Source organism: Homo sapiens, chromosome 6 (assembly GCF_000001405.40).
Source record: "Homo sapiens chromosome 6, GRCh38.p14 Primary Assembly".
NCBI classification, from domain to species: domain Eukaryota; kingdom Metazoa; phylum Chordata; class Mammalia; order Primates; family Hominidae; genus Homo; species Homo sapiens.
This window is the reverse complement of record NC_000006.12, coordinates 13,381,636-13,407,244: the sequence shown is the minus strand read 5'-3', so window position 1 is coordinate 13,407,244 and position 25,609 is coordinate 13,381,636. Positions and strand designations below refer to the sequence as shown.

Genomic DNA, 25,609 nt, shown 5'->3' with positions numbered 1-25,609 from the left:
ACCCAGATCCAAAATAAAAAGTTCTTCCTCCCATAGCAGTCGCTCTGTAAGCAGTCTGGCAGCTCTATAGTGTTTGGGATCCAGGATCCTCTGTCTTGGCGCCACCATCCCTAGAGTATTGTCTTTGCCTTCATGGCCCAATATAGCCTTATGCTTGTCACACAGGAAAAGGGAAATGGAGGGTGCACCATGGAAAGTTTACACAGCTCTTCCATTCACATCCCATTGGCCAGAACTTAGTCACATGGCCACACTTAATGGCAAGGGAGACTGGGAAATGGAGTTTTTTATTCTTGGCAACCATGGGTCCAGCTGAAATGAGTGGTTCTGCTGCTGGAGAAGGAGAGAACTGACAAGGGCAGAGGAAGGACAGCCAGAGGTCTTTATATTTGCTATCACACTGTGTACAAAATGCCAACATGGGGATAAACACAGGCAGCCAACCAGAACAGGACTGTCAAAGAAGGCCTCCCAATCACCTACTGTCAGACACTTTAAAGGCCCAATGGATGAGAGTCCACTTTCTTAAACCCCAGTTTCAGCTGGACCTTTATTTCCCCTTCTTTGTCAGGGAAATTGAATTTAGAAGTTGAGGTTTGATGAGCTACTCTAGATCTTTGCACTTAGCATCAAGTAAGGAGATGGAAAATATTCCTGGAAGCATGAATTTAAAGCAAATAGAATTCTTCTCTTCTCACTCTCGATTGTGCTCTCGCTCTCTTCTTTCTGCCCTCCCCTCCCGTCTGTTTAGGATTAAGGAGTTGTACAGTCCTAACGTGAATACAGGCGCCCTTTCTGAAGCCGTGTTACCTTGTATTTGTAGAGCGCTTGCAGGCTTTGCACAAGCTGTCCTTCAGAGGGTTTCAGGGCAGGGGCCAGGGGAGGAGGGGTGCTACAGAAAGCTCTTATGTAATGTGGTAAACAAACAGCAAACGGCGTTTCATTTTCCATTAGCCAGAGAGGCATTTTATTTCCACTAGAAATGGGAGCAGACGTGAAAGCAATTAGTGTTAGTGGGTTTATAGTGACGTCCCTGGAGCCAGCAAAATCCTGGGGCCAGATGTCTGTACTTTACTGGTTCCTTGTTCCGAGAACATTTGTGGGTTCTTTCCACCCCTGCCCATCTCCACCTCCTGCCAAAAGGACCCAAAATATAACAGTTGGGAGAACATAATATTCCCTGAATAGCAGAGGCGGGAGGCCTGTTCTTTAGAGATAGAGGATGCTGCCTCAGAAGTTGGGGTGGGGAGGCCAAGAGTGAAAGGAAGATCCTTGCCAATGTCCCCAGGCTCCTCCTGGCCCTGGAACCCTTCAAGCCACTGATGAGTTGAGGCTGGGGCTTGCGAGTATCTCTCAGGAGTGGCAATGTCTCAATCCCGTCTTTTATGCTTCTTTGTTCACTTTATCTTCAACTCTGCCCTATCCCACCCACAATACACATATAGTGGGAAAGACAGAAGGAGAAACAGCAGCAAAAATAGAAGCTGTGAATGTCCTCCCCTCCTCCTGTATGCTGGAATAATATGATCTAAGTTTCATTCCATCTCAAACTTTACTATAGCCACGGTCACCAGCAAGACCACCAAAACCCTGGAATCTGCCACTTACATATTTTCTAATGTAGAGGTTCTTTTCCTATGTAACCTCACATCTTCTTTCAAGGCCTCATATTGGATGATTTATAACTGGTCATCTCAATCTGTGCTGTCCCATTCAGAGTCACTAGCCACTTGCTAGCTATCAGCACTTGAGCCAGTCCAAATTAAGATGTGCTGTAAATATAAAACATACACTGGGTTTCAAATACTTCGTTTGAAAGAGAAATGTTTATACTGATTACATGTTAATAAAATTTTGGATATATTGTGTTAAGGAAAATATATTATTAAAATTAATTCCACCTGTTTTTTCCCCTTAATTAACGTAGCTATTAGAAAATGTAGAACTATGCAAGTGGCTTGCATTTGCAGCTTGTATTTTTCTCCTATTGGGAAAGTACTGGTCTATGTTATCTTTTAAAATACTGTAGCACTTTTTTTAAGTTATTGAAAATATTTAAATGAACTTTTAAAAACCTTCTAAAGCTTGAGAAGACTTCAAAAGAAAAGAAGAGGCTCTGCAAACCTTTATAAGAGGAAAGTTGGATAGCCAACAAAGAGATTTCCTAGCATTTGAGATAGAGTCTAGAAACTTAATCACCTTCAGGGACCAGGTACTGATGTAAGGTGAGATGGGGTTGAGGATAGACAACAGAGAATGGTGGGGCTTGTGGTGCACTGGGGAGAGAGGTGCCCTACATAGAGACATTTAAATTAAAAAATTTTTAAACATTGGGTGCCTCATAAAGCAATGGTGAAATTTGACCCAAAGGTGGAATTTGGCACAGAGGACTCTAGCATGTTATTCTTGGAACCTTTAAAAACAAACTATTTTACATGGCCGATCCCATGAAAATTACTCATGCAGACAACTCCAACCAGGTTTTGTAAATGAGAATTTCCTCTTTACATCTTGAAATGACATTACTTTAAATTTTGCACCCAAGTGTGCATGCAGCCTCCACTGTGTAGTTCACATGTTCTTTTGCTAAGAACGTGGCTAACAGTTAGCTCATACCGAGTTCCTGTTCTGGGAGATGCTGGGATAGTGTTGCCTCATTTAGTTCTTGTAACACCCTTTTGAGGCTGGTGGTATCTTCATTTTTATTGAGGCTGAAGGAAATTAAGCCACCCCCTTGGCTGTAGCAAAAAAGCAGCAGAACTGAGGTTCAGGCTCACGTGTTTCACATACTACAGTTCTAATCCAAAGGATTTATAAAACTTCATCATACACATTGTCTCATTTGATCCTTAAAAGAAGTTCATGAAAGGCAGGAAGCTTAGGCAAGTTCCTCGGTCTTCCTGGCTGGCTGCAGTTTCCCTCAGTTCTAAGAAGGGGCTGGACTAAATGACTACTTGATGAGTCCATGGCTTTGTGACTTCCTGGTGCAAGAAAAGGCTGAGCCTGGATCAGACTTGGACCCTTGGGATCCCTTAAATGGTTCCCCATCTCAGAATATTTTGCACAGTCTTTTCCAGTAATTTTCTATGTGCATTAAAATGATAGTCAATATTTTAGACATCACAGAAATGTATTCCAAGTTTCATTTAAAATTAGGCTGATTTCAAACTATCGTTGTTTACTTTTTAACTTTTAAAAATATATAAACATTCAAACATTTTGCTATTCATATTTCATCTATAACTTCCCACTTTTTTCCTGCCAAAAATGCCATGTATTCACAGAGTTGTACAACCATCTCCATAATCAATTTTAGAACATTTCATCACCCCAGAAATAAACCATATATCCATTAGTAATCACTCTTCCAACATCCTTCCACTGCAACCTTAGGCAACCACTATTTTTTCTGTTTCTATAGATTTGCCTTTTCTGGAGATTTTATATAAATGAAACCATAAAATAAGTGGTCTCTTCTGAGACTTCTTTCACATGTCATAATATTTTCAAGGTTCATCCATGTTGCAGCATATATCAGCACTTCATTCCTTTTATGGCTGAATATATTTCATCATATGGCTATACAGTCTTGTAACAAATAACAATGTTTCAGTTAATGATGGACCACATATATAATGGTGGTCTCATAGTATTATAATTTTTACTGTACATTTTTACAGATACACAAGTACTTACCCCTGTGTTACAATTGCCTACAGTATTTAGTGCAATAACATGCTATACAGCTTTGTAGCCTAGGAGCAATAGGTTGTACCATATAGCCTAGGTGTATGGTAAGCACATAAAAACCTATCATCAGGCTGGGCACGGTGGCTCACGCCTGTAATCCTAGCACTTTGGGAGGCCGAGGCAGGCGGATCACCTGAGGTCAGGAGTTTGAGACCAGCCTGGCCAACATGGCAAAACCCCGTCTCTACTAAAAATACAAAAATTAGCCGGGCATGGTGGTGCATGCCTGTAATCCCAGCTACTCAGGAGGCTGAGGCGGGAGAATCACTTGAACCCAGGAGGTAGAGGTTGCAGTGAGCTGAGTTCGCACCACTGTACTCCAGCCTGGGCGACAGAGCGAGACTCCGTCTCAAAAAAACAAAAAATACCAAAAAAAAAAAAAAAACCACACACACACACACACAACAAAACAAAAAAACCCTACCATTTAGGTTTGTGTAAGTACACTGTATAATGTTTGCACAGCAAAATCGCCTAATGATGCATTTCTCAGAACATATTCCCATGAGAAAATGATGCATGACTGTACCACCTTTTGTTTATTCATTCATCGGTTGATGGACATTTGGATTGTTTCCACCTTTTGGCTATGGTGAACAGTGCTACTATGAATATTTATGTACAAGTATTTGTTTGAGTACCTTTCTTCATTTCTTTTGGCTATATACCTAGGATTGGAATTGCTGGGTCATATGGTCACTCTATGATTAACTTTTTGAGGAGTTGCCAGGATGCTTTTCAAAGTGGCTACACCATTGTACATTCTTACGAGCAATGTTTGAGGGTTCCAATTATTCTACAACCATGCCAACACTTGTTATTTTCTGTCTTTTTTATTATAGTCATCCTAATGGGCATAAAGTAGCATCTTATTGTGGTTTAGATTTGCATTTCCCTAAAGACTGATGATGTTGAGCATCTTTTCATGTGTTTATTGGCCATTTATATGCCCTCTTTGGAGAAATGTCCATTTAGATCCTTTCTCATTTTTTATTTGAGTTGTCTTCTTCTTACTGAATTGTTAAGTTATTTACATGTTATAGATACCCTTTTTCTTCTCACATCTGTGACTGGCAAATATATTCTACCATTCAGTCGGTGGTTTTATATCTTGATGATGTCCTTTAAAGTACAGTTTTTTGTTTCGATGAAGTTCAAGTTATATATGTTATATATAGTCACTTGTCTTTTGGTATTATATCTAGAGAAGGCTTTGCCTAAACCCGAGATGTCAAAGTTTTACTCCTGTGTTTCCTTTGGAGAGTTTTATAGTTTTAGCTTTTACATTTAGGCTTTGATCCATATTGAGTAAATTTTTGCATGTGACATGAGATAGGCCTCCAACTTCATTTTTGTGCATGTGGATAGCCAGTTGTTCTAGCACCACTTGTTAAAAAGACGATTCTTTTCCCATTGAATTTTTTGGCACTTTTGTTGAAACTCTGTTGATCGTAAGATAAAATTTATTTCTGAACTCTTAATTAATTCTTCTCATTGATCTATTTGTTCATCCTTATGCCAGTAGTACACCATCATGATTACTGTAGCTTTGAGGTAAGTTTTGAAATCATGAAGTGCTAAAGTAGTTTTCCTACTACTTTTAAAGAGGATATTCTTTCAAGATAACATTTGCTATTCTGGGATCCTAGCATTTTCATGTGAATTGTAGGACCAGCTTGTGAATTTCTACATAGAAAGCAACTGGAATTTTGATAGCAATTGTTTTGACTCTGTAGATCAATTTGGATAATATTACTGTCTTATCAATATTAGGTTTTCTGATCCATGGACGCAGGATGTCATTCCAGTGATTAAGATCTTCTTTGATTTTTTTCAAATAGATTTTTTAATTTTCATAGTACATATTTTGTACTTCTTAAATGTATTTCTAAGTATTCTGTTTGATACTGTTGTAAATGGACTTGTTTTCTTAATTCATATTCAGATTGTTCATTTTTCTGCAACATTTTAAATTAAATAGTGCCCCATTATCCATAAATACTTGTATGACATTCCATTTGTAAATACCATAGCTAGCATCTCTAACTAATAAGGACTGGTTCCTTCCCTTTCCCTTTTTCCCTTTCCCTTCCCTTCCACTACTGGACCCATGACAATGAACAAGGATTCCCTGCTCTCATCTGCTACACGGCTCAGATTCAGATATCCTGGATTATCTATAAAATGTCGTCTCATGGTTGGCCTTTTGGAATAGGGATCCAAACAGGCCCACGCCTTATGCCTGGCAATTAGACCTTTCAAGTCTCCTCCGTTTTCTAAGAGTCCCTCTTTTTTCCTTTTTGTGCTTTAAGGGTTTAAATTCATATTATTCCAGTGCAATAAGTCTGTCACCTCACACAGGCTAACATCTATAGTCAGACATCCTCCTTAAATGGGTCTCGGCTCTCTCGCACCTCACTTTATAGAAAGGAATTTGAAACATAGACTTATGGTCTTCACAAGTATGTGATGCTGTTGTTGGCTCTCCAGGCACCTGTTGAGGGGAAGTAATCCTTGCTGAGGATATTGACAGAACATCATTGTTTCCTGTCCCCACCCCCTGTACTTGAGAGTCAATGACTAATAGTGATAAAGAATGGTGGAGAGGACTCTCGTGCCTCTTTCTTTAATAGGTGAAGAACCAGTCTCCCTTGTCCCACAGAACAGTTTGTCATTCAGGGCCTCCTGTGTTCCCTCACCATCTTTACTCTCTAGTCACCAGATATGGTGTTGTCTCTGGTCTCCCAAGACTCTTCCCTCTTGCTTTGAAATGTTCATCTGCATGTAAGACATGAGTCTGACTAGGGTCCAAGCAGAGCTTAAAAGTGGAAAAAGATTCTCCCACTTTTATGTATTTTTCCATCAGCAGCACTTCATTCTGACGAAATGTGTGCTCTTTTGATCACTATCTGCTTCGAATTACTCCTAAATTAAATTGTTCAAAAAGGATAAACTCGAAACGGAGGTTCTACCTGGTCTTGTATCAGCATTTTCCTGATCCCTGCTAAGAAAGTGAGCCTCATAACAGGAGGAATGGGACATCTGAAATATGTTTTTATGGAGTATGGCCAGGCACTAACCCATCAGCACAGAGGTGCCTAGGAGCTGGAGTGGGATCTTGGTGGCTTCCGCAGTGGTAACCACCAACTCTTCAAGTTGCTGAGCTTTGGAGAGATGGGGAGGATTCCTGGATAATAGAGAGATATTCAGGCATTTCAGGGCAGTGGCTATTTACTAACTGATAAATAGATATTTTAACATTTATCCCACCCCCAATGTGACTGCCATTGTGTGCTGGCTGAATCCCTGCCCGGTCCTGCATGTCTTAGTGTATTGGCCTGCACTATGTCTATTTTAGAGCTTTTGCCATCCAGGAAGTCTTTATTTTCTCTTCAATATATCAGGAGGCCAGAGGCCTCTTAAAAAAAAAAAATCAGAATCCCCACAGTTGTATAGATTAAAACAGCTTCTCAGTAACTGTGTGACCACGTGGAGGATCTTAGGAGAAAGAAATGATGTATTGGCTTCCCCAAAAGGGAGCACCCCTCAGAGACATCAGATCACCCTTCTCCTTCTCCCTGCTACTTTTGTTGAGGTAATTTACATGCAATAAAATGTACCTATTTTAAATGTATAGCTTTGTGAGTTTTGGTAAATGTATATACCTGTGCAATGCCACTGCAATTTCAAGATATGGAAATTTCCAATCATTCCGGATAGTTGCCTTAGTTGACTTTTTGGTGCATTCTCTACCCTCCCAGCCTCAGCCCCTGTCCCAGCCCCAGTAACCACTGCTGTGCTTTCTGCCCTGATAGCTCACTTTGCCTGTTTTACAATTGCAGATAAATAGAATGTCTGCATCCTTTTGCCTCTGGCTTCTTTTCACTCCGCATACCGGTTTTGAGATTTCTTCATATTGTTGCATGTCTCAGTAGTTCATTTATCTTTACTGCTGAGTAGTATTCTATTTTATGAAGGTATCACAATTTATTTATCTATTCAGCTGCTGTTGGATGTTGAGTCATTGCCAGTTTTTGGCAATTATAAATACAACTGCAACAAACATTCACATTTGGTTCTTTTGTGTAGATATATGTTTTCATTTCTCTTTGGTAAATTTCTAGGAGTGGAATTGCTGGGCTTTAGAGTAAGCCTTTGTTTTACTTTATTAAAAATCTGTCTTGCTGGGTGCCGTGGCTTGCACCTGTAATTCCAGAACTTTGGGAGGCCGAGGCGGGCCAATCACTTGAGTCCAGGAGTTCGAGACCAGTCTGGGAAACATGGAAAAACTGTCCCTACATGCCACCCCTCCCTCCCCCACCACCAAAATTAATCCAGGCTTGGTGGTATGCTCCTGGAAGCTGAGGTGAGAGAATCACCTGAGTCCGCGAGGTTAAGGCTGAAGTGAGCTTTGATTGCGCCACTGCACTCCAGCCTGGGTAACATAGTGAGACCCTGTCTCAGAACAAAACAAAACAACAAAATCTGTTTTCCAAAGTAGTAAAGTGCTTGTCTAGCTCCTGCCTTTTAAATGCCCAGTGTTACTGTAACTGGCTCATGATTTGTGCTAGAAAAAATAACAACGAGTCAAATCAACTGGTGTCTGTGGCGTCCTTGTCAATAGAGAGCTTTCAAAAGCAGCTGAGCCCCTGGATGTCCCTCCCTACCTCCTGTTCTGGGATGCTGCCCCGTGGTGGCCATTGACTGGTCTGAGCCCTGACCTGAGGGAAAGTGGAGTCGCCATTTATTGAGAAGCCCGGGAGGCTGAGCAGGCGGCAGTGAGGTGCTGATGGCTCAACAGAGCCTCTTTCTGCCTGCAGGCAGCTGGGATCCTAAATTACCTCCTTTCTGAGTCCAGGAAAGCCCATTAATCAAAACTAAACACCCGATGTGAGCTCCTTGGACGCTGCATTTGTGCACTGGGGTGCACATTCTGGGTTAAATATACAAAATAGGTGTTTAAGGACAGAGGAGCAACTTTTTTTGAAACAATTTTTTATTCAGGTAAATTTACATACTGTGAAATAAGCAGATAGTAAGTGTATACTTTAATGAGCTTTGCTAAATGCGTACACTCAAATCACCACCAATCAAGATTTGGAACATTTCAAAAGGATAAACTCGAAACGGAGGTTCTACCTGGTCTTGTATCAGCATTTTCCTGATCCCTGCTAAGGAAGTGAGCCTCGTAACAGATCCAAGTTAGGTGTCTGTGAATGCTGTTAACAGTAATAACTGACTAATGTGCAAGGTATGTACATACCTGATCTCATTTAATCCTCAGAACAGCCCTATGAGGTAATAGTTCTCATTTCCATTTTGAAGATGAGGAAGCCGAGGCTCAGAGCAGTAACTGACATTGTACATAACATAATATACGGTATAGTACAGTAACTGACATGAAACAGCTCGTGCTGGCAGCCCCTGGAGTCAAACCCAGCGGCAGAGGCTCCAGGTTTGCACTTTCCCCTATACACAGCTTCTCAGACTTCCTTCTGCAATAGCAGTTAAGGACAGGGCAAAGAAGATGCATACTTTGGAAGATAGAGGGAGTATCTGGGGATGTGGCCCATAGTCGGAAAAGTCTTCTTTTAAAAATTAATGCAAAATTTGTTTTCAGTTCCAAATGTGACAGTGTTTATTTTCATATAAAATATGTTTCATTTGCAAAGGTTTGCCCCTGCCCCCATTCAAATTGTTAGTAATAGAATGTGCCGGGATAATGCCACGTGGGCTGTGTGTTATTCCGGGTATGCCCACTGCAAGACATCACCATCTTCTGCTCATTCCTAAGACTGAATTGGTACTTGGCCAAATATTTGTCCTGTTCCCCACCCTGCTCTCCTGTTTTGCATTGGCTTCTAAAGTGGAAGCAGGTGGAGGCAAATATCTGCCCTCCCAGGTGGTATCAGTGCCTTCTGTTCTCCCCAGTGGGCCGGCCCCTGGGTTTTATGATACAAGGCTGGGCCTCCACCCTTCCAGGTTATGGCAGAGGCTGCCCCAGAGATGCCAGAGGGCCTGGAGGTGAAAGAGGAAGTGAAAAGTGAAGATGCAGATCACTTTCTCACGGCAGGCCCGAGTCCTCAGATGGAGAGACAAGGGGCCTGAGCTGGACACCACTTTTCATTTCGAGGGTGGCTTCACATTTGGATCTTTTGTGTAGATATTTGTTTTCATTTCTCTTTGGTAAATTTCTAGGAGTGGAATTGCCGGGCTTTAGAGTAAGGCTTTGTTTTACTTTATTAAGAATCTGTCTTGCTGGGCGCCATGGCTTGCACCTGTAATCCCAGCACTTTGGGAGGCCGAGGCGGGCCAATCACTTGAGTCCAGGAGTTCGAGACCACTGTGGGCACCCACAATGGGTCTGCTCCTGCTCCCTAAGCAAAGGTTCTGGGTGCTCTTGTCCCTTCTCTGAGCACTGTTTCCAACATCTGGCCTCTCTGTGGCTCTGAAGGTGTCGGTCACTGCACACCTGTGATCACCACCACTCAGGAAGCCCTACCTTCCTCCTGGGAGGTAAATATCCCTTCCTCTGACTTGAAACATCCCCAGGTATATGAGTTTCCCTTGCTGTTGTAATAAATTGTCACAAATTTAGTGGCTTAAAACAATACAGATTATTCTCTTCACAGTTGTAGAGGTAGAAAGTCTAAATTCAGTGTGCTGGCAGGGCCGTGTTCCTGCTGGAAGCTTCTGGAAAGAATCCATACCCTTGCCTTTTCCAGCTTCTAGAAGCTGCCTGTATACCTTGGCTCATGACCCCTTTCTCAAGTCCCTCCAACCTCTTGCTTCCAGGACACAGCTCCTATGACCCATTCTGATCTCCTGCTTCCTTCTTGTAAGAGTGGTGCTTACCTCCCACCCACCTGGCTAATCCAGGATAATCCTCCCAGTTCATGATCCTTAACTTCATCCCACCTACAAAGTCTCTTTTGCCATTCTATAAGAAAACATTCACAGGCTCTGGGGATCGGGATGTCGACATTCAGTCTGCCACACAGGAGGACTCAGAATCCTTGGCACCAACTCCTAGGAAAAGGCCACCTGCCCTGTAGGTGATGATGCTATGGGCACAGCTCTCTGTAACTCAGTGTGGCGCTTACTTTGAGAGGTGCACTGGAAAGCACATGGCCCCTCAGAGCCAAGTTCAAATCCTGACCCAATTGTTAGCTCTGTTAACCTGGCACAGATTAAATATGCTATTTCAGAGCCTCCATTTTCTGATCCATAAGAGGGAGGTAGAGATCTGCAGGGAAGATTGAAGATAAAGCATCTAGTACTGTCGCTGGCAAACAGTAGGTGCTCAACAAATGATGGCTATAATTCTTTGGAGGATTTCTAGTGAGCTACGTAGAAGCAGAAGTGACACTGTTCCTCAGCTTAGTTCACATGGGTGATTACATGGTTACTAAAAACAAACAAATGAAACATGTAAATGCGTTCCCCAGGCCTCCAAATTCTAAAACCCGGAGCTACAAGTTTGGAAAGGGCAGATGATAGTGACATACAATGATGACATTCCTGCATCCCCTTCCGCCTGCCCTCTGCTCATCCCAGGCTCAGATCCCCCACGGAGTAAACAAAGCACAGCTAGACTAGAATTGCCTCAGTGCCCTGGACTGGGGCTACCACGGCCTGAGTGGGACCCTCAGGGTCAGGTCCTCAGCTTCTGTGCTCATGGCTGGGAACTAACTGGTGCACGGTGGAGTGGCCGTAGCGTTGATGCCAAGGAAGTTTCTTCAGTGGGAACAAAGACCAGGGAACTCATAAAGCCTCTGGGCTCTTTATCTCAAGTGGAAAAGGGCTAACATTTCTGACTGAGTACTGGCAGCCAGTTGCTTTACATAAGTTATCTTTATTTGATCCATCAGGATATTGCTGTCTACATTTTACTGATGAGGAAGCTGGAGCCCCGAGAGCTTAACTCCCTTATCTGAGCTCACACAGCTAGGAAGGGGCTGGCATCTGTCCAACCTCTAAGCCAACCAGCCCATGACACAGCAGTATCTGAATTTCTGGCTAATTCATGAATCTCTATTGTATTGCAAGAAAGGAAAAACAAGATCCCCTTATCAGAGGCAAGGGAATGATATATGAGTTTTATCGGGTGGTTTATAGGCTCTTTATCATGGATCCAGTGCCTCTTGGGAGATGGCCATGCCAAGGCCATGGCTGTCATGCTGATGGATGTGCCATTCCTTGTTTAATCCAGCCTGTCCCTCCCTCCTGAAACCTTAGCCCCCATTTCCCATCTAAGGGACATTGTGAGGGCAATTTTTTCATTTTTAAATACAAATTTTAATTTTATCTATGTATTTTTGAACTGGCAATGTAGTCACCTTGTTCAAAATTAAAAGAAGCCTGGGCAACATAGCAAAGCCACTGTCTCTACGAGAAAAAAGAAAGAAACCTAGCCAGGCACAGTGGCTCACACCTGTAATCCCAATACTTTGAGAGGCTAAAGTCGGGGGATTCCTTGAGGCCAAGAGTTCAAGACCAGCCAGGGAAACACAGTGAGACCCTATCTCTACAAAATTTTTTAAAAATTAGCCAGGTATGAAAGGCCGGGCATGGTGGCTCACGCCTGTAATCCCAGCACTTTGGGAGGCCCAGGCTGGTGGATCAGTTGAGGTCAGGAGTTCAAGACCAGCCTGGCCAATATGGTGAAACGCCATCTCTACTAAAAATACAAAAATTAGCCGGGCATGGTGGCACGTGCCTGTAATCCCAGCTACTTGGGAAGCTGAGACAGGAGAATCACTTGAACCCAGGAGGTGGAGGTTGCAGTGAGCTGAGATCATGCCACTGCACTCCACCCTGAGCAACAGAGCGAGACTGTCTCAAAAAAAAAAATTAGCCAAGTATGGTAGCATGCACCTGTAGTCCCAGTTACTTGGGAGGCTGAGGCAGAAGGATTGCTTGGGCCCAGGAGTTTGAGGCTGCAGTGAGCTATGATCACCTCACTGCACTCCAGCCTGGGCAAAAGAGCAAGACCTCGTCTCAAAAAAAAAAAAAAAAAAAAAAAAAATTCAAAGGGTACAAAAGCAGATATGCTGAAAAGCTCCTTCCATCCTTCCCCCCGCCAGACACCCGTTCTCCTGCCCAGAGACGACCAAAGTTATCAGTGTTCCTTCCGAGAGATATTCTACATAAATTCAAGCAAATATATATTTATTCTTTTTTCTGTACAGATGATAGTATACCATGCACATTCTTCTGCATCTTGCCTGTTTTTGTCTAACTTGTCATATAATACATGAAGAACTTTCTCATTTTTTCATCTGAAGTACAAATTTTATATAAAATTATGAAAAAGATAATGTGTGACTAACAACAAGGTACATCTTTTTAAATGAGTCTATTTATCAGTTAGCTAGCTTGCACAATAACTGTACATTATTTAAGACATTGGCCAAGGAGCCAGGCACAGTGGCTCACGCCTGTAATCCCAGCACTTTGGGAGGCCGAGGTGGGTGGATCACAAGGTCAGGAGATCGAGACCATCCTGACTAACATGGTGAAACCCGTCTCTACTAAAAATACAAAAAATTAGCCGGGCGTGGTGGTGGGCGCCTGTAGTCCCACCTCCTCGGGAGGCTGAGGCAGGAGAGTGGCCGAACCCGGGAGGCGGAGCTTGCAGTGAGCCGAGATCGCACCACTGTACTCCAGCCTGGGCGGCAGAGCGAAACTCCGTCTCAAAAAAAAAAAAAAAAAGAAAAGAAAAAAGAAATTGGCCAAGGAAAATAATGTACTATTTTGTAGAGTCCATATCAACTGAATAGGTAACAACTCCCTCTCTGAAAAAACAGTTGTTTGTAATCAATGATTTTTTTAAAAATTAAAAACTCAAGCACTGGTTGGCACTATTGAAAAGAAATAGTTCAGCAAGTTTTGTTATCACCAGACTTGAGAAATGAGAGGAGGAGACTCTGTTTTCAGGAACCCCTGTTATGGTACCGTGATGGAGAGCTCTACAGGAGCTGCGCTGTTGCTGTGTCTGCAGGGTCTCTCTGGACTGGCCGGTGGTCCTTTCTACAAGGATGGCAAGCAGGGGAAGGGGCATGACTATAAAGGCTTCTGTCCCATCTTCTTACTTCTTTCCTTTTTTTTTTTTTTTTTTTTTTTTGGTGGTTGTTTTTGAGATGGGGTCTCGCTCTGTTCCTCAAGCTAGAGTGCAGTGGCATGATCTCCACCCACTGCAACCTCTGCCTCTCGGGTTCAAGTGATTCTCCTCCCTCAGCCTCCTGAGTAGCTGGGATTACAGGCATGCACTAGCACGCCCAGCTAATTTTTGTATTTTTAGTAGAAACGGAGTTTCAGCATGTTGCCCAGGCTGGTCTTGAAATCCTGACCTCAAGTGATCCACCCACCTTGACCTCCCAAAGTGCTGGGATTACAGACATGAGCCACCACACCCAGCCCTTTTTCTTCTTTCGATAAGGTCTCACTCTGTTGCCCAGGGTGGAATGCAATGGCACAGTCATAGCTCACTGCAACCTTGAAGTCCTGGGCTCAAGCAATCCTCCTGCCTCAGCCCCCCAAGTGGCTGGGGTTACAGGCACATGTCACCATGCCTGGCTAATTTTTAATTTTTTTTTTTTTGTAGGGACAGCATCTTGCTATGTTGCCCAGGCTGGCTTCAAACTCCTGGCCTCAAGCGATCCTCCCGCCTTGGCCTCTCAAAATGCTGGGATTATAGGTGTGAGTCATTGCACCTAGCCCTTCTTATTTCTCTTCTTCTCTGGAAATCTTCCTGACTTCTTTGTTTCTACCTACCTGGCTCATCTGCTTACCCCCTCTCTCACAATATGAAATGACAAGAGTCAGTTATCTGAGAGGATCTGCAGCAGCAGCTACAGGCCAGCTCCTGCAGGCTCTCTCTCCATCAGGGTACAGCAACAGGGTCTGCTGAAGACAGGCTCCTCCTCTCTCATTTCTCCAGTGTAGTGATACAAAAACTTGCTGAAATATTTGAAATACCAAAACTCTTTTCAATACTGCCAACCAGTGCTTGAGTTTTTAAATTAAAAAAAAAAGTAATTAAGAACAACTTTTTATTTTTTGGTGGAGGAGTCGTTACCTATTCAAAACACACTGACCAGAGGAAACAGATTTTCTTTTTTCTCTTTTCTTTTTTTTTTTTTTTTTTTTGAGATAGGGTCTGGCTTTGTCACCCAGACTGGCATGCAGTGCAACCTCTGCCTCCCGTGCTCAAGTGATCCTCCCGTCTCAGCCTCCCAAGTAGCTGGGACCACAGGTGCACACCATCACACCTGGCTAATTTTCATATTTTTTTAGTAGAGGTGGCATCTTGTTGTGTCGCCCAGGCTGGTCTCGAACTGCTGGGCCAAGGGATCTGTCCACCTCAGCCTCCTGAGCTGGGATTACAGGCATGAGCCACTGCACCCAGCCTAGGAAGCAGCTCTTAGTGTGGCAACAGGGAGTGGGCTGTCTCCTCGTGTCTACCAGAGTAGTCCCTGGTCTACAAATTTCAGAACCTTGAGTAGTTCCCTGCTATGCCATGGGCAGGCCTGTTCACCAACTGTCTACTACAAGTAACTGTTTATCAACTGTTTTAAAGAATAACCCACAACAGCCATTGGTAACAACAACAAAATGACCATCGGTAGAATTGATTGAACATGGACTGTGTCCCAGACCCTGTGCTAAGCTCTCAAGATGGTTCTCACCACTCCAATGAAGTCGATACCCTTATATCCCCATTTAACAGATGAGGAAATTGAGGATTAGGGAGATTAAGTTACTTGTCCAGATACGTGGTAGAGCTTTGAGGTCAGACTCAGCCCTTGGTCTGGCTCGCCTGCTGGCATCCTTTCCCAATATTCTCTACTGAAGCTTTCTTTTCTCTTTTTGAAAAGAAAAAATGGAGTTGTTACCTATTCAATTGATATGGACTCTACGAAATAGTACATTATTTTCCTTGGCCAATTTCTTTTCTCTTTCTTTTTTTTTTTTTTTTTTTGTTTGTTTGTTTTTGAGATGGAGTCTCGCTCTGTCGCCCAGGCTAGAGTGCAGTGGCACAATCTCAGCTCACTGCAACCTTCACCTCCCAGGTTCAAGCGATTCTCCTGCCTCAGCCTCCCGAGTAGCTGGGATTACAGGCGCCCACCACTGCGCCCAGCTAATTTTTATATTTTTAATAGAGACGGGGTTTTGCCATGTTGGCCAGGCTGGTTTCAAATGGCCAATTTCTTAAATAATGTATAGCTGTTTTGGTAGCTAGCTAGCACCGTCAGATAATTCCAGCCACGGTTACTGGAATTGAAGTCCATTTCTCACCTTCTACCTTCACTCAAACAAAAAAATCGAATGTTCACCATCCACTGTGAAATAACCAATCATATCCTTGAAAATCTTAATTAAGTGTCCTGTGAAACTTTCCTTCTCTGGGCTTCTTTCTTCCTTTCCCTGTTACGCTAACTTCAAGCAACAGAGGTTTATTGGAGATGGTCTTTGCGCTGGGCCAGTAGGGGACACCAAGAAATAGATATTCCTGGTTGTGCTCAAGGGTTTCAGCAGCTGGTTAAAAACCGCTGAGCTAGTGTTTATTCGGCACTTCCTGTGCCAGGCACTGTGCTAAGTAGCTTGCATGCATTGCCTCATGCAGCCCTCATAACAACCTTTTGAGGTAGATACTGTTATTATCCTTCCTTCCTTCCTTCCTTCCTTCCTTCCTTCCTTCCTTCCTTCCTTTCTCTCTCTCTCTCTCTCTTTCTCTCTCTCTTCCTGTCTTTCTTTCTTTTTTTTTTTTTCACAGGGTCTCACTGTCACCAGGCTGGAGTATAGTGGTGCTAGCATGGCTCACTACAGCCTCAGACTCCTAGGCTGAAGCAATCCTCCTGCCTCAGCCTCCCTAGTCACTGGGACTACAGGCATGCACCACCACATCTGGCTAATTTTTTAATTTTTTGGTAGAGATGAGGTTTCGCTGTGTTGCCCAGGTTGGTCTCAAACTCCTGGGTTCAAGGAATCCTCCTACCTCCACTTCCAGAGTTGCTAGGACTGCAGGTGCATGCCACAGCACCCGGCTATTTTTTGTATTTTTTTTAGAGACAGGGTCTCACTATGTTGCCCAGGCAGGTCTCGAACTCCTGGGTTTAAGTGATCCTCCTGCCTCGGCCTCCCAAAGTGCTGGGATTACAGGCCTGAGCCACCATGCCCAGCCCCTGTTTTATATAAACAACAACAACAACAACAAAATGGAAGCCCAGAAGGTTTGGAGGAACTACCTCACTGTAATAGAGTTTACAAGTAGTTGGGACCTCAATATTCCACAGGAAAATATGCCTAAGAATTCCAGATGTCATATGATTAAGGCTCGGAAAGTCATAACTGGCTCAGGCAGCAAGTATTAGAGAAGGAGAGATACACAAGGCTTGGGGTCCTCAGGGGGGATGTCCCAGAGGTGGTGGGACTTAAGTTGGACCTTGGAGAAGAGTGGCACAATGGGGACTGGAGAGGCAGGTAGCAAAGGAGGGAAGGTGGGAATGTGCACGGGGGGCTGAACTTGTTTGAACTTGATGACTGAGCAGAGGAAATGCAGGGGGTCCTTTTGGTGAGGTAAATCATGGTAAACATGGGAAAGTAAAAAATGCATATCATGGGCAATGGCAAAGATTAAGTTCTAAACAGAAGGGGTGTGTATGTGTCAGTATTTGGAAAATATTAATAATATGGTAGTTTGGAAAGGGGCGTTAGATTTTTTATTATCATTATACTTTAAGTTCTAGGGTACATGTACAGAACTTGCAGGTTTGTTACATAGGTATACATGTGCCATGTTGGTTTGCTGCACCCATCAACTTGTCATTTACATTAGGTATTTCTCCTAATGCTATCCCTTCCCCCACCCCGCACCCCCCAACAGGCCCCAGTGTGTGATGTTCCCTGCTCTGTGTCCATGTGTTCTCATTGTTCAACTCCCACCTATGAGTGAGATCATGTGGTGTTTGGTTTTCTGTCCTTGTGATAGTTTGCTGAGAATGATGGTTTCCAGCTTCATCCATGTCCCTGCAAAGGACATGAACTCATCCTTTTTTATGGCTGCATAGCATTCCATGGTGTATATGTGCCACAATTTCTTAATCCAGTCTATCATTGATGGACATTTGGGTTGGTTCCAAGACTCTGCTGTTGTGAATAGTACTGCAATAAACATATGTGTGCATGTGTCTTTAAAGTAGCTTGATTTATAATCCTTTGGGTATATACCTAGTAATGGGTTCACTGGGTCAAATGGTATGTCTAGCTCTAGATCCTTGATGAATTGCCACACTGTCTTCCACAATGGTTAAACTAATTTACACTCCCACCAACAGTGTAAAAGTTTCCTATTTCTCCACATCTTCTCCAGCATTTGTTGTTTCCTGACTTTTTAATGATCGCCATTCTAACTGGTGTGAGATGGTATCTCATTGTGGTTTTGATTTGCATTTCTCTGATGACCAGTGATGATGAGCATTTTTTCATGTGTCTGTTGGCTGCATTAATGTCTTCTTTTGAGAAGTGTCTGTTCATGTCCTTTGCCCACTTTTTGATGGGGTTGTTTGTTTTTTTCTTGTAAATTTGTTTAAGTTCTTTGTAGTTTCTGGCTATTAGCCCTTTGTCAGATGGGTAGATTTCAAAAATTTTTTCCCATTCTGTAGGTTGCCTGTTCATTCTGATGATAGTTTCTTTTGCTGTGCAGAAACTTTTCAGTTTAATTAGATCCCATTTGTCAATGTTGGCTTTTGTTGCCGTTGCTTTTGGTGTTTTAGTCATGAAGTCTTTGCCCATGTCTGTGTCCTGAATGGTATTGCCTAGGTTTTCTTCTAGTGTTTTTATGGTTTTAGGTCTTACATTTAAGTCTTTAATCCATCTTGAGTTAATTTTTGCATAAGGTGTAAGGAAGAGATCCAGTTTTAGCTTTCTACATATGGCTAGCCAGTTTTCCCAGCACCATTTATTAAATAGGGAATTCTTTCCCCATTGCTTGTTTTTGTCATATTTGTCAAAGATCAGATGGTCGTAGATGTGTGGTGTTATTTCTGAGGCCTCTGTTCTGTTCCATTGGTCTATATATCTGTTTTGGTACCAATACCATGCTGTTTTGGTTACTGTAGACTTGTAGTATATTTGAAGTCAGGTAGCATGATGCCTCCAGCTTTGTTCTTTTTGCTTAGGATTGTCTTGGCTATGCAGGCTCTTTTTTGGTTCCATATGAACTTTAAAGTAGTTTTTTCCAATCCTGTGAAGAAAGTCACTGGTAACTTGATGGAGATAGCATTGAATCTATAAATTACCTTGGGCAGTATGGCCATTTTCACAACATTGATTCTTCCTAACCATGAGCATGGAATGATCTTCCATTTGTTTGTATCCTCTTTTATTTCATTGAGCAGTGGTTTGTAGTTCTCCTTGAAGAGGTCCTTCACATCCCTTGTAAGTTGGATTCCTAGGTATTTTATTCTCTTCATAGTGATTGTGAATGGGAGTTCCCCCATGATTTAGCTCTCTGTCTGTTATTGTTGTATAGGAATGCTTGTGATTTTTGCACATTGATTTTGTATCCTGAGACTTTGCTGAAGTTGCCTATCAGCTTAAGGGGATTTGGGGCTGAGATGATGGGGTTTTCTAAATATACAATCATGTCATCTGCAAACAGAGACAATTTGACTTCCTCTTTTCCTAATAGAATATCCTTTATTTCTTTTTCTTGCCTGATGCCCTGGCCAGAACTTCCAACACTGTGTTGAATAGGAGTGGTGAGAGAGGGCATCCTTGTCTTGTGCCAGTTTTCAAAGGGAATGCTTCCAGTTGGTGCCCATTCAGTATGATATTGGCTGTAGGTTTGTCATAAATAGCTCTTATTATTTTGAGATACGTTCCATCAATACCCAGTTTATTGAGAGTTTTTAGCATGAAGGGCTGTTGGATTTTGTCGAAGGCCTTTTCTGCATCTATTGAGATAATCATGTGGTTTTTGTTGTTGGTTCTGTTTATGTGATGGATTACGTTTATTGATTTGCGTATGTTGAACCAGCCTTGCATCCGAGGGATGAAGCTGACTTGATCATGGTGGATAAGCTTTTTGATGTGCTGCTGGATTCGGTTTGCCAGTATTTTATTGAGGATTTTTGCATCGATGTTCATCAGGGATATTGGCCTAAAATTCTCTTTTTTTGTTGTGTCTCTGCCTGGCTTTGGTATCAGGATCCGACATTCCCTTGACTATGAAAAGGAGTTGTCAGATTATCTGGGCATTGCTCTATGTTGCTGCTTGGATGCTCATGTAAACATTAATGGCTCTGAGAAGTATTAATACTGTGCTGCATTAGAGAAGCCTCTTCCATGTGGGAAAGCTGCTTGCAATTTCAATTTCTTGTGTGTATGCCTATGTAACTGAGTGTTTAAAATTGCTTCAAAAACTATCAAAACAGAAGCACACAGAAGTACACCTATTAGGCGAGGATATCGTTGGTCTAATCATCTATCCTGGGACTCTGAGAAATGAGATGGAGGCTGGTAATGAGGATGGAATGCAGAATTGATGCTTTTTAACATTTTTCACCAGCATTTCCCAAACTTCTTGACCCTAGCTTCTGTTTTTAATGCATGGCACAATCTTGAACCCCCTGTAGGGCCGGTGTTCCTCAGAAACGCTTCAGAACAGCTGTTGTAGTCCCATCTCGCTTTGCCAATGAGGAAATGGTGCCCAAGGCCACACAGATGGTGGCTGAGTCAGGACTGGGACACGAGACCAGGGGTGCACATGAAGTCTACACCTGCCACATGCCCATATATGCTGATTATTCAGCCTCTGAAAGTAAAGGTGTGTGTTGAGGTGAGCACCACCCATTGAAAGCCCCCAGGAAGAATGGCAGAATGAGGATCGTTGGGGAGCAGAGCTTTGTGGGCAGCTGGTGTTCACTGGTGCAGGAGCCAATGATGGCTGGGAAGAAGACATTCTGCCCCAAACGTTAGCCCACCTGTCTGCCCAGGCAAGTGGCACTTCTGCTGACGCTGGCTGCTGGCTGCTGGCAGGGACAGCCGCATGTCCTCCGAAGTACGCGAGATTCCTTCACAGTCAGGCCAGGTGCTACCTGGAGTCAGCTTTCACCTACGCGGTGTGTATCTAGTGCACAGGTGTATCAGTTTGCTTGCTTATAAATGAAAAGGGGGATTTGGACCTGACGGATAGGAGGCTCCTTAGAACAACTCGACATCATGATCCTTTAGGATCTGGAAATACAAGGGAACCGAGGATTCTGAACACTGAGGCTGTTGTTTAAAAAAAATAAAGTAATTTGGGAAGCGGAGGCAGGAGAATCGCTTGAACCTGGGAGGTAGAGTTTGTGGTGAGCCTAGATAGTGCCATTGCACTCTAGCCTGGGCAACAAGAGCAAAACTCTGTCTCAAAAAAAAAAAAAAAAAAGGAATTACCCAAACTCCCTGGCCTGGGGCAACAGATAGGATAAGGGAATGGAGTCATGGAGTCTTATAAGCTGGTGATTGAGGGAAAGACGGAGTGAAAGGAAATCTAAAGGAGAAGAGAATTGCTTAGACCTGAGTACTTTTTCTGTGCTGAGTACTTTTTTGTAGAGCAGAGAGGGAACTGAAGGGGAATAATTCACTGGCTTTATCCTTAGAAGTTGGGATTTAATGTACTCTATAAGTGCTTTGACTTCCACAGAGTACATTCTGTGGGCTTTAAGCCCTTGAAGAAGGCAGGTAGCTTTGTTTTAGTCACTGTATTTTACCTATACCTCACTTATACTCTATTTAAATAAATACTTACATTTCTTTTTATTCTTCAAGTAGAAATTAACCTGCATACAAAAGTTGCTCAATGAGCTAACAGAATAATTTGGCAAGTTCTACTCATAAAACCCTTGATGATTGGCTTGTCTTACTGCACTGAGAAAGCAGAAAAATGATTCTGTGATTTTCTTCTCTTGTCTGGCAAAAATATAGGACAAGAGTTCTCTTTGGACCCACATTCCTATCTTCTGTCCACAGCCCCAGCAGAACAGCCACTACTCCTTGTTGCAGATTGGTTGGTCTTTAAGGGAGGCTCCCACCATAACTATTTACCAGTGTTGAATGACAGTTCCATTAAGTATGTCACATGGTTCCCAATGGTACTTTTATGTTACAGATGTCATCTTGCAGTTTAGTAGGACCAGAGCTCCATGGGGGCAGGTACCTGGGTGGAATCTCTCCTGCCTGTCCTGTCTTGAGATACCTACACGGAAGGCTGGCACACGCCCGAGATTAGACTGTCAACCTCACACCGGACACACACCTCCTCTGCTGGCCCCAGTATTGGATGGCAGTGGTTGCCAAGCAACCAGGTTATCTGCACTCTCCCGGTTACTGAGCAGATACAGAAGACAGGCCTGCAACTCTCATTGTAGGGTACAGCTGGGAGATACCCCAGGGGGCTGGAACTTGAACTCTGCTGCCACCAGCTAATCCTCCCCTGTGACCTAAGGGTCTCTGCCTTCTGGATCTGTGAGTCTGCCTTTTGAGAATGGAAACAACCATCTAAATAGATGAAATGATAATAGATTCAAGCTTCAATAAAACGGAGCCCCAACCTCATGGGCAAGGAAGTCTGCTAAATCCAGAGGAGTTTAAACTGATTTATACCTAAATTTTCTATCTTCATTTGTACGCAAAAGCCCTTTAAGAGGCAATTGATTATTTTACAGTGCATCAGAGAGCTCAGAAAAATGGATTTACTCTCGAGGTCAGAAAGGCACTGTGCGCATCTCTGCCTCCCAGCCTGTGGAACCGGCGAGTTAGCGTGTCAGTGGTCTCCCTGTAATCACTCAAACCTCGCTGTGCTGCTGTGGATCATTGAGGGCCTCTCATGGCCACATTCTGTTGTAAATCATCAACGAGTACTAAAAAGTCTCTACAGCAAGTGAAGTATGCAGAGGAGACACCAAAGTATTGACCAGTATGAGAAGGCTCCTACGTTTCAGGAACTTATAATTATGGTTGGGAGTAGGAGGACGCAGACATTCTGGAATAGAGGTGTCCAAACATTTTCCATGCACAGTGCCTTTAATGTCTCAGCAATTTTCTTGATGGTGCTCCTAGGCCAAAAGAAAGACTTCACGAGTTCATAGAGTAAGTGACTAAGTCCAAACAATAAGTATTAATCCTAATAACTTAGCAGGTGCTTTAAAAAATAACTCATAAATCGAAAGAGTAAAAACATTTTTGTTTTATTTTAGTTTAGTTTAGTTTAGCTTAGTTTTTGAGATGGAGTCTCACTCTGTCACCCAGGCTGGAGTGAAGTGGCGTGATCTCGGCTCACTGCAACCTCCATCCCCGGGTTCAAGTGATTCTCCTGCCTCAGCCTCCTGAGTAGCTGGGCTTATAGGCGCATGCCACCATACCCAGCTAATTTTTGTATTTTTAGTAGAGACGGAGTTTTGCCATGTTGGCCAGGCTGCTCTTGAACTCCTGACCTCGGGTGATCCACCTGCCTCGGCCTCCCAAAGTGTTAGGATTTACAGACGTGAGCCACTGCGCAGTACCAATATGTTTATTTTGTTCTTAATCACAGTGTTAATGGTGTTAAAAAATAAATGTAGGCCCATTAACATTTTAAAGCGCTTACTTGAACATTCAGCAATTCATGAGTCCAGCAGTACCAGACCAAAAGTGGTTCAGTGCTCCACCCAGGGGTGTGAAGAAGCAAGTCAAAGTGGAAAGTCCCTATTAGATGTTAGTTGGCATTTCTAATTGGTTAAGCTTCAGTTTCATTTTACTGTTTACATAGGGTTGGGTTTTGATTTGCTTACATAGAAACCCAAGGCGTGAGAGCCATCTCAGCCTAATGGCCTTCCCATTAATTATTTTAACAATGAGATGTGTATGCCTATGGGGCACTGCACTTCTCAAACTTGGAATCAGATAGAACTCTGCCACCCACAGTTCCATCCCACACCTTGATTTTTTCCTAGTGTATGTTTGTTCTAATCACAGCAACTGCCAAAAACTCAGCTTCACAGAGATAGGCTGTCACTGAAAGGAATCTTGTGTAACTCAGTGTTGAAACTGGGAACTTTCTCCAGTTAGCAGTTCCTGCAGTATCCAATAGATGTCAAGTAACAGAATGTTTCCCTCTAAATTTCAAAACACACTGCAGTTACCCTGAGTTCACCATGGGACCTCTGGATGCCTTAGGTTGGGAACCATGGTTCTAAAGCACAGAAAGTAGTTGTGGAAAATACAAGATTTGATGGCAACCTGGGTGACCCCCCATCTTTTCTCCAGTAGGTTCTTAATAAATGTTTGTGGGATTACAAAGGAATATAAATCATTCTATTACAAAGATACATGCATGCATATGTTCATTGCAGCACTGTTCACAATAGCAAAGACATGGAATCAACCCAAATACCCATCAGTGATAAACTAGATAAAGAAAATGTGGTACATATACACCTTCGAATACTATGTAGCCATAAAAAGGAATGAGATCATGTCCTTTGCAGGGACATGGATGGAGCTGGAAGCCATTATCCTCAGCAAACTAACACAGGAACAGAAAACCAAACACTGCATGTTTTCACTTATAAGTGGGAGCTGAACAATGAGAACACATGGACACAGGAAGGGGAACAACACACACTGGGGCCTGTTGGGGAGTAGGGTTGGGGGAGGGAGAGCATTAGGAAAAATAGCTAATGCATGCTGGGCTTAATACCTAGGCGATGAGTTGATAGGCTCAGCAAACCACCATGACACACATTTACCTATGTAACAAACCTGCACATTCTGCACATGTACCCTGGAACTTAAAATAAAATTTTTTTTTAAAAGTCTGTGGGGTTAAATGGTTACATGAAAATCCACAATTCCAACTTGTATTAGTCTGTTCTCACACTGCTAATAAAGACATACCTGAGACTGAGTAATTTATAAAGGAAAGAGGTTTATTGACTTACAGTATCACATGTCTGGGGAGGCCTCACAATCACGGTGGAAGGTGAAGGAGAAGCAAAGTCACATCTTACATGGTGGCAGGCAAGAGAGTGAGTGCAGGGGAACTTCTCTTTATAAAACCATCAGATCTCATGAGATTTGTACATTATCATGAGAACAGCATGGAAAAGAACCCCCCCCCCCATGATTCAATTACCTCCCACTGGGTCCCTCCCATGATACCTGGGAATTATGAGAGCTACAGTTCAAGATGAGATTTGGGTGGGGACACAGCCAGACCATATCACAACATGATTTCTTCACCATCATATTTGACTGGCTGCCAGATTGCATTCAATATTGTAATATATTATAATCAAGATAAGCACAGATACACAGAGCCAGATTATGGGGGTTTGGATCCTGGCTCAACCACTTACTAGGATGTGAACTTGGGCCTTGACTCTTGAGGGTTTGGCTTTGTGTGTGAAATTGGAAGGACAATAACCTCTTCAGGTTTTGGGAGGATTCAGTGAGATGATTCCTACAAAGCACTTCGCAGGTACTTGGTGGTAGTTACTGCTTCAGTCAGCAAGTTTGTGTGTGTGTGTGTGTGTGTGTGTGTGTGTGTGTGTGCGCGCGCGCGTGTGTGTTTTATTTCTCTTACTCCAGGGGGCACTTTTAGACTTCAGTGTGATTGAGCATGGTGACCTGTCTCAGGAGGAGGTGTTCATGAGAGGAGGGTGGCTGAGGGCTTGGGGGAGGAGGAGGGGAGGGGATAAACCACCTGTCCACACCCCTTCCCACTGGAGCACAAAGCAAGCCACACTTGGGCCTCTGTCCTTGTTCTCTGCATCTGACACACCTTTAGGGCATTGCAGTGTCTGAGACATCTAGACATCTCCCACATGCTCCA

At 43.1% G+C, this 25,609-nt stretch overlaps 1 protein-coding gene across 3 annotated transcripts in view, besides 3 other annotated features; it reads left to right on the top strand.

Moving 5' to 3' along the window:
• GFOD1 (Gfo/Idh/MocA-like oxidoreductase domain containing 1) overlaps window positions 1–25,609 on the top strand; it is a 129,771-nt gene that overhangs the window by 80,356 nt on the left and 23,806 nt on the right. The gene's annotated exons all lie outside the window — the stretch shown is intronic.
• Window positions 1,092–1,292: a silencer, noted in NCBI's record as "peak5665 fragment used in MPRA reporter construct". NCBI's record gives its function as "represses an SCP1 promoter by STARR-seq MPRAs in K562 erythroleukemia cells {active_cell/tissue: K562}" and the evidence as "EXISTENCE:reporter gene assay evidence [ECO:0000049][PMID:32103011]".
• Window positions 6,446–6,495: a silencer, noted in NCBI's record as "silent region_16929". NCBI's record gives its function as "represses an Ori minimal core promoter by ATAC-STARR-seq in GM12878 lymphoblastoid cells {active_cell/tissue: GM12878}" and the evidence as "EXISTENCE:reporter gene assay evidence [ECO:0000049][PMID:35858748]".
• Window positions 23,373–23,692: an enhancer, noted in NCBI's record as "active region_24024". NCBI's record gives its function as "activates an Ori minimal core promoter by ATAC-STARR-seq in GM12878 lymphoblastoid cells {active_cell/tissue: GM12878}" and the evidence as "EXISTENCE:reporter gene assay evidence [ECO:0000049][PMID:35858748]".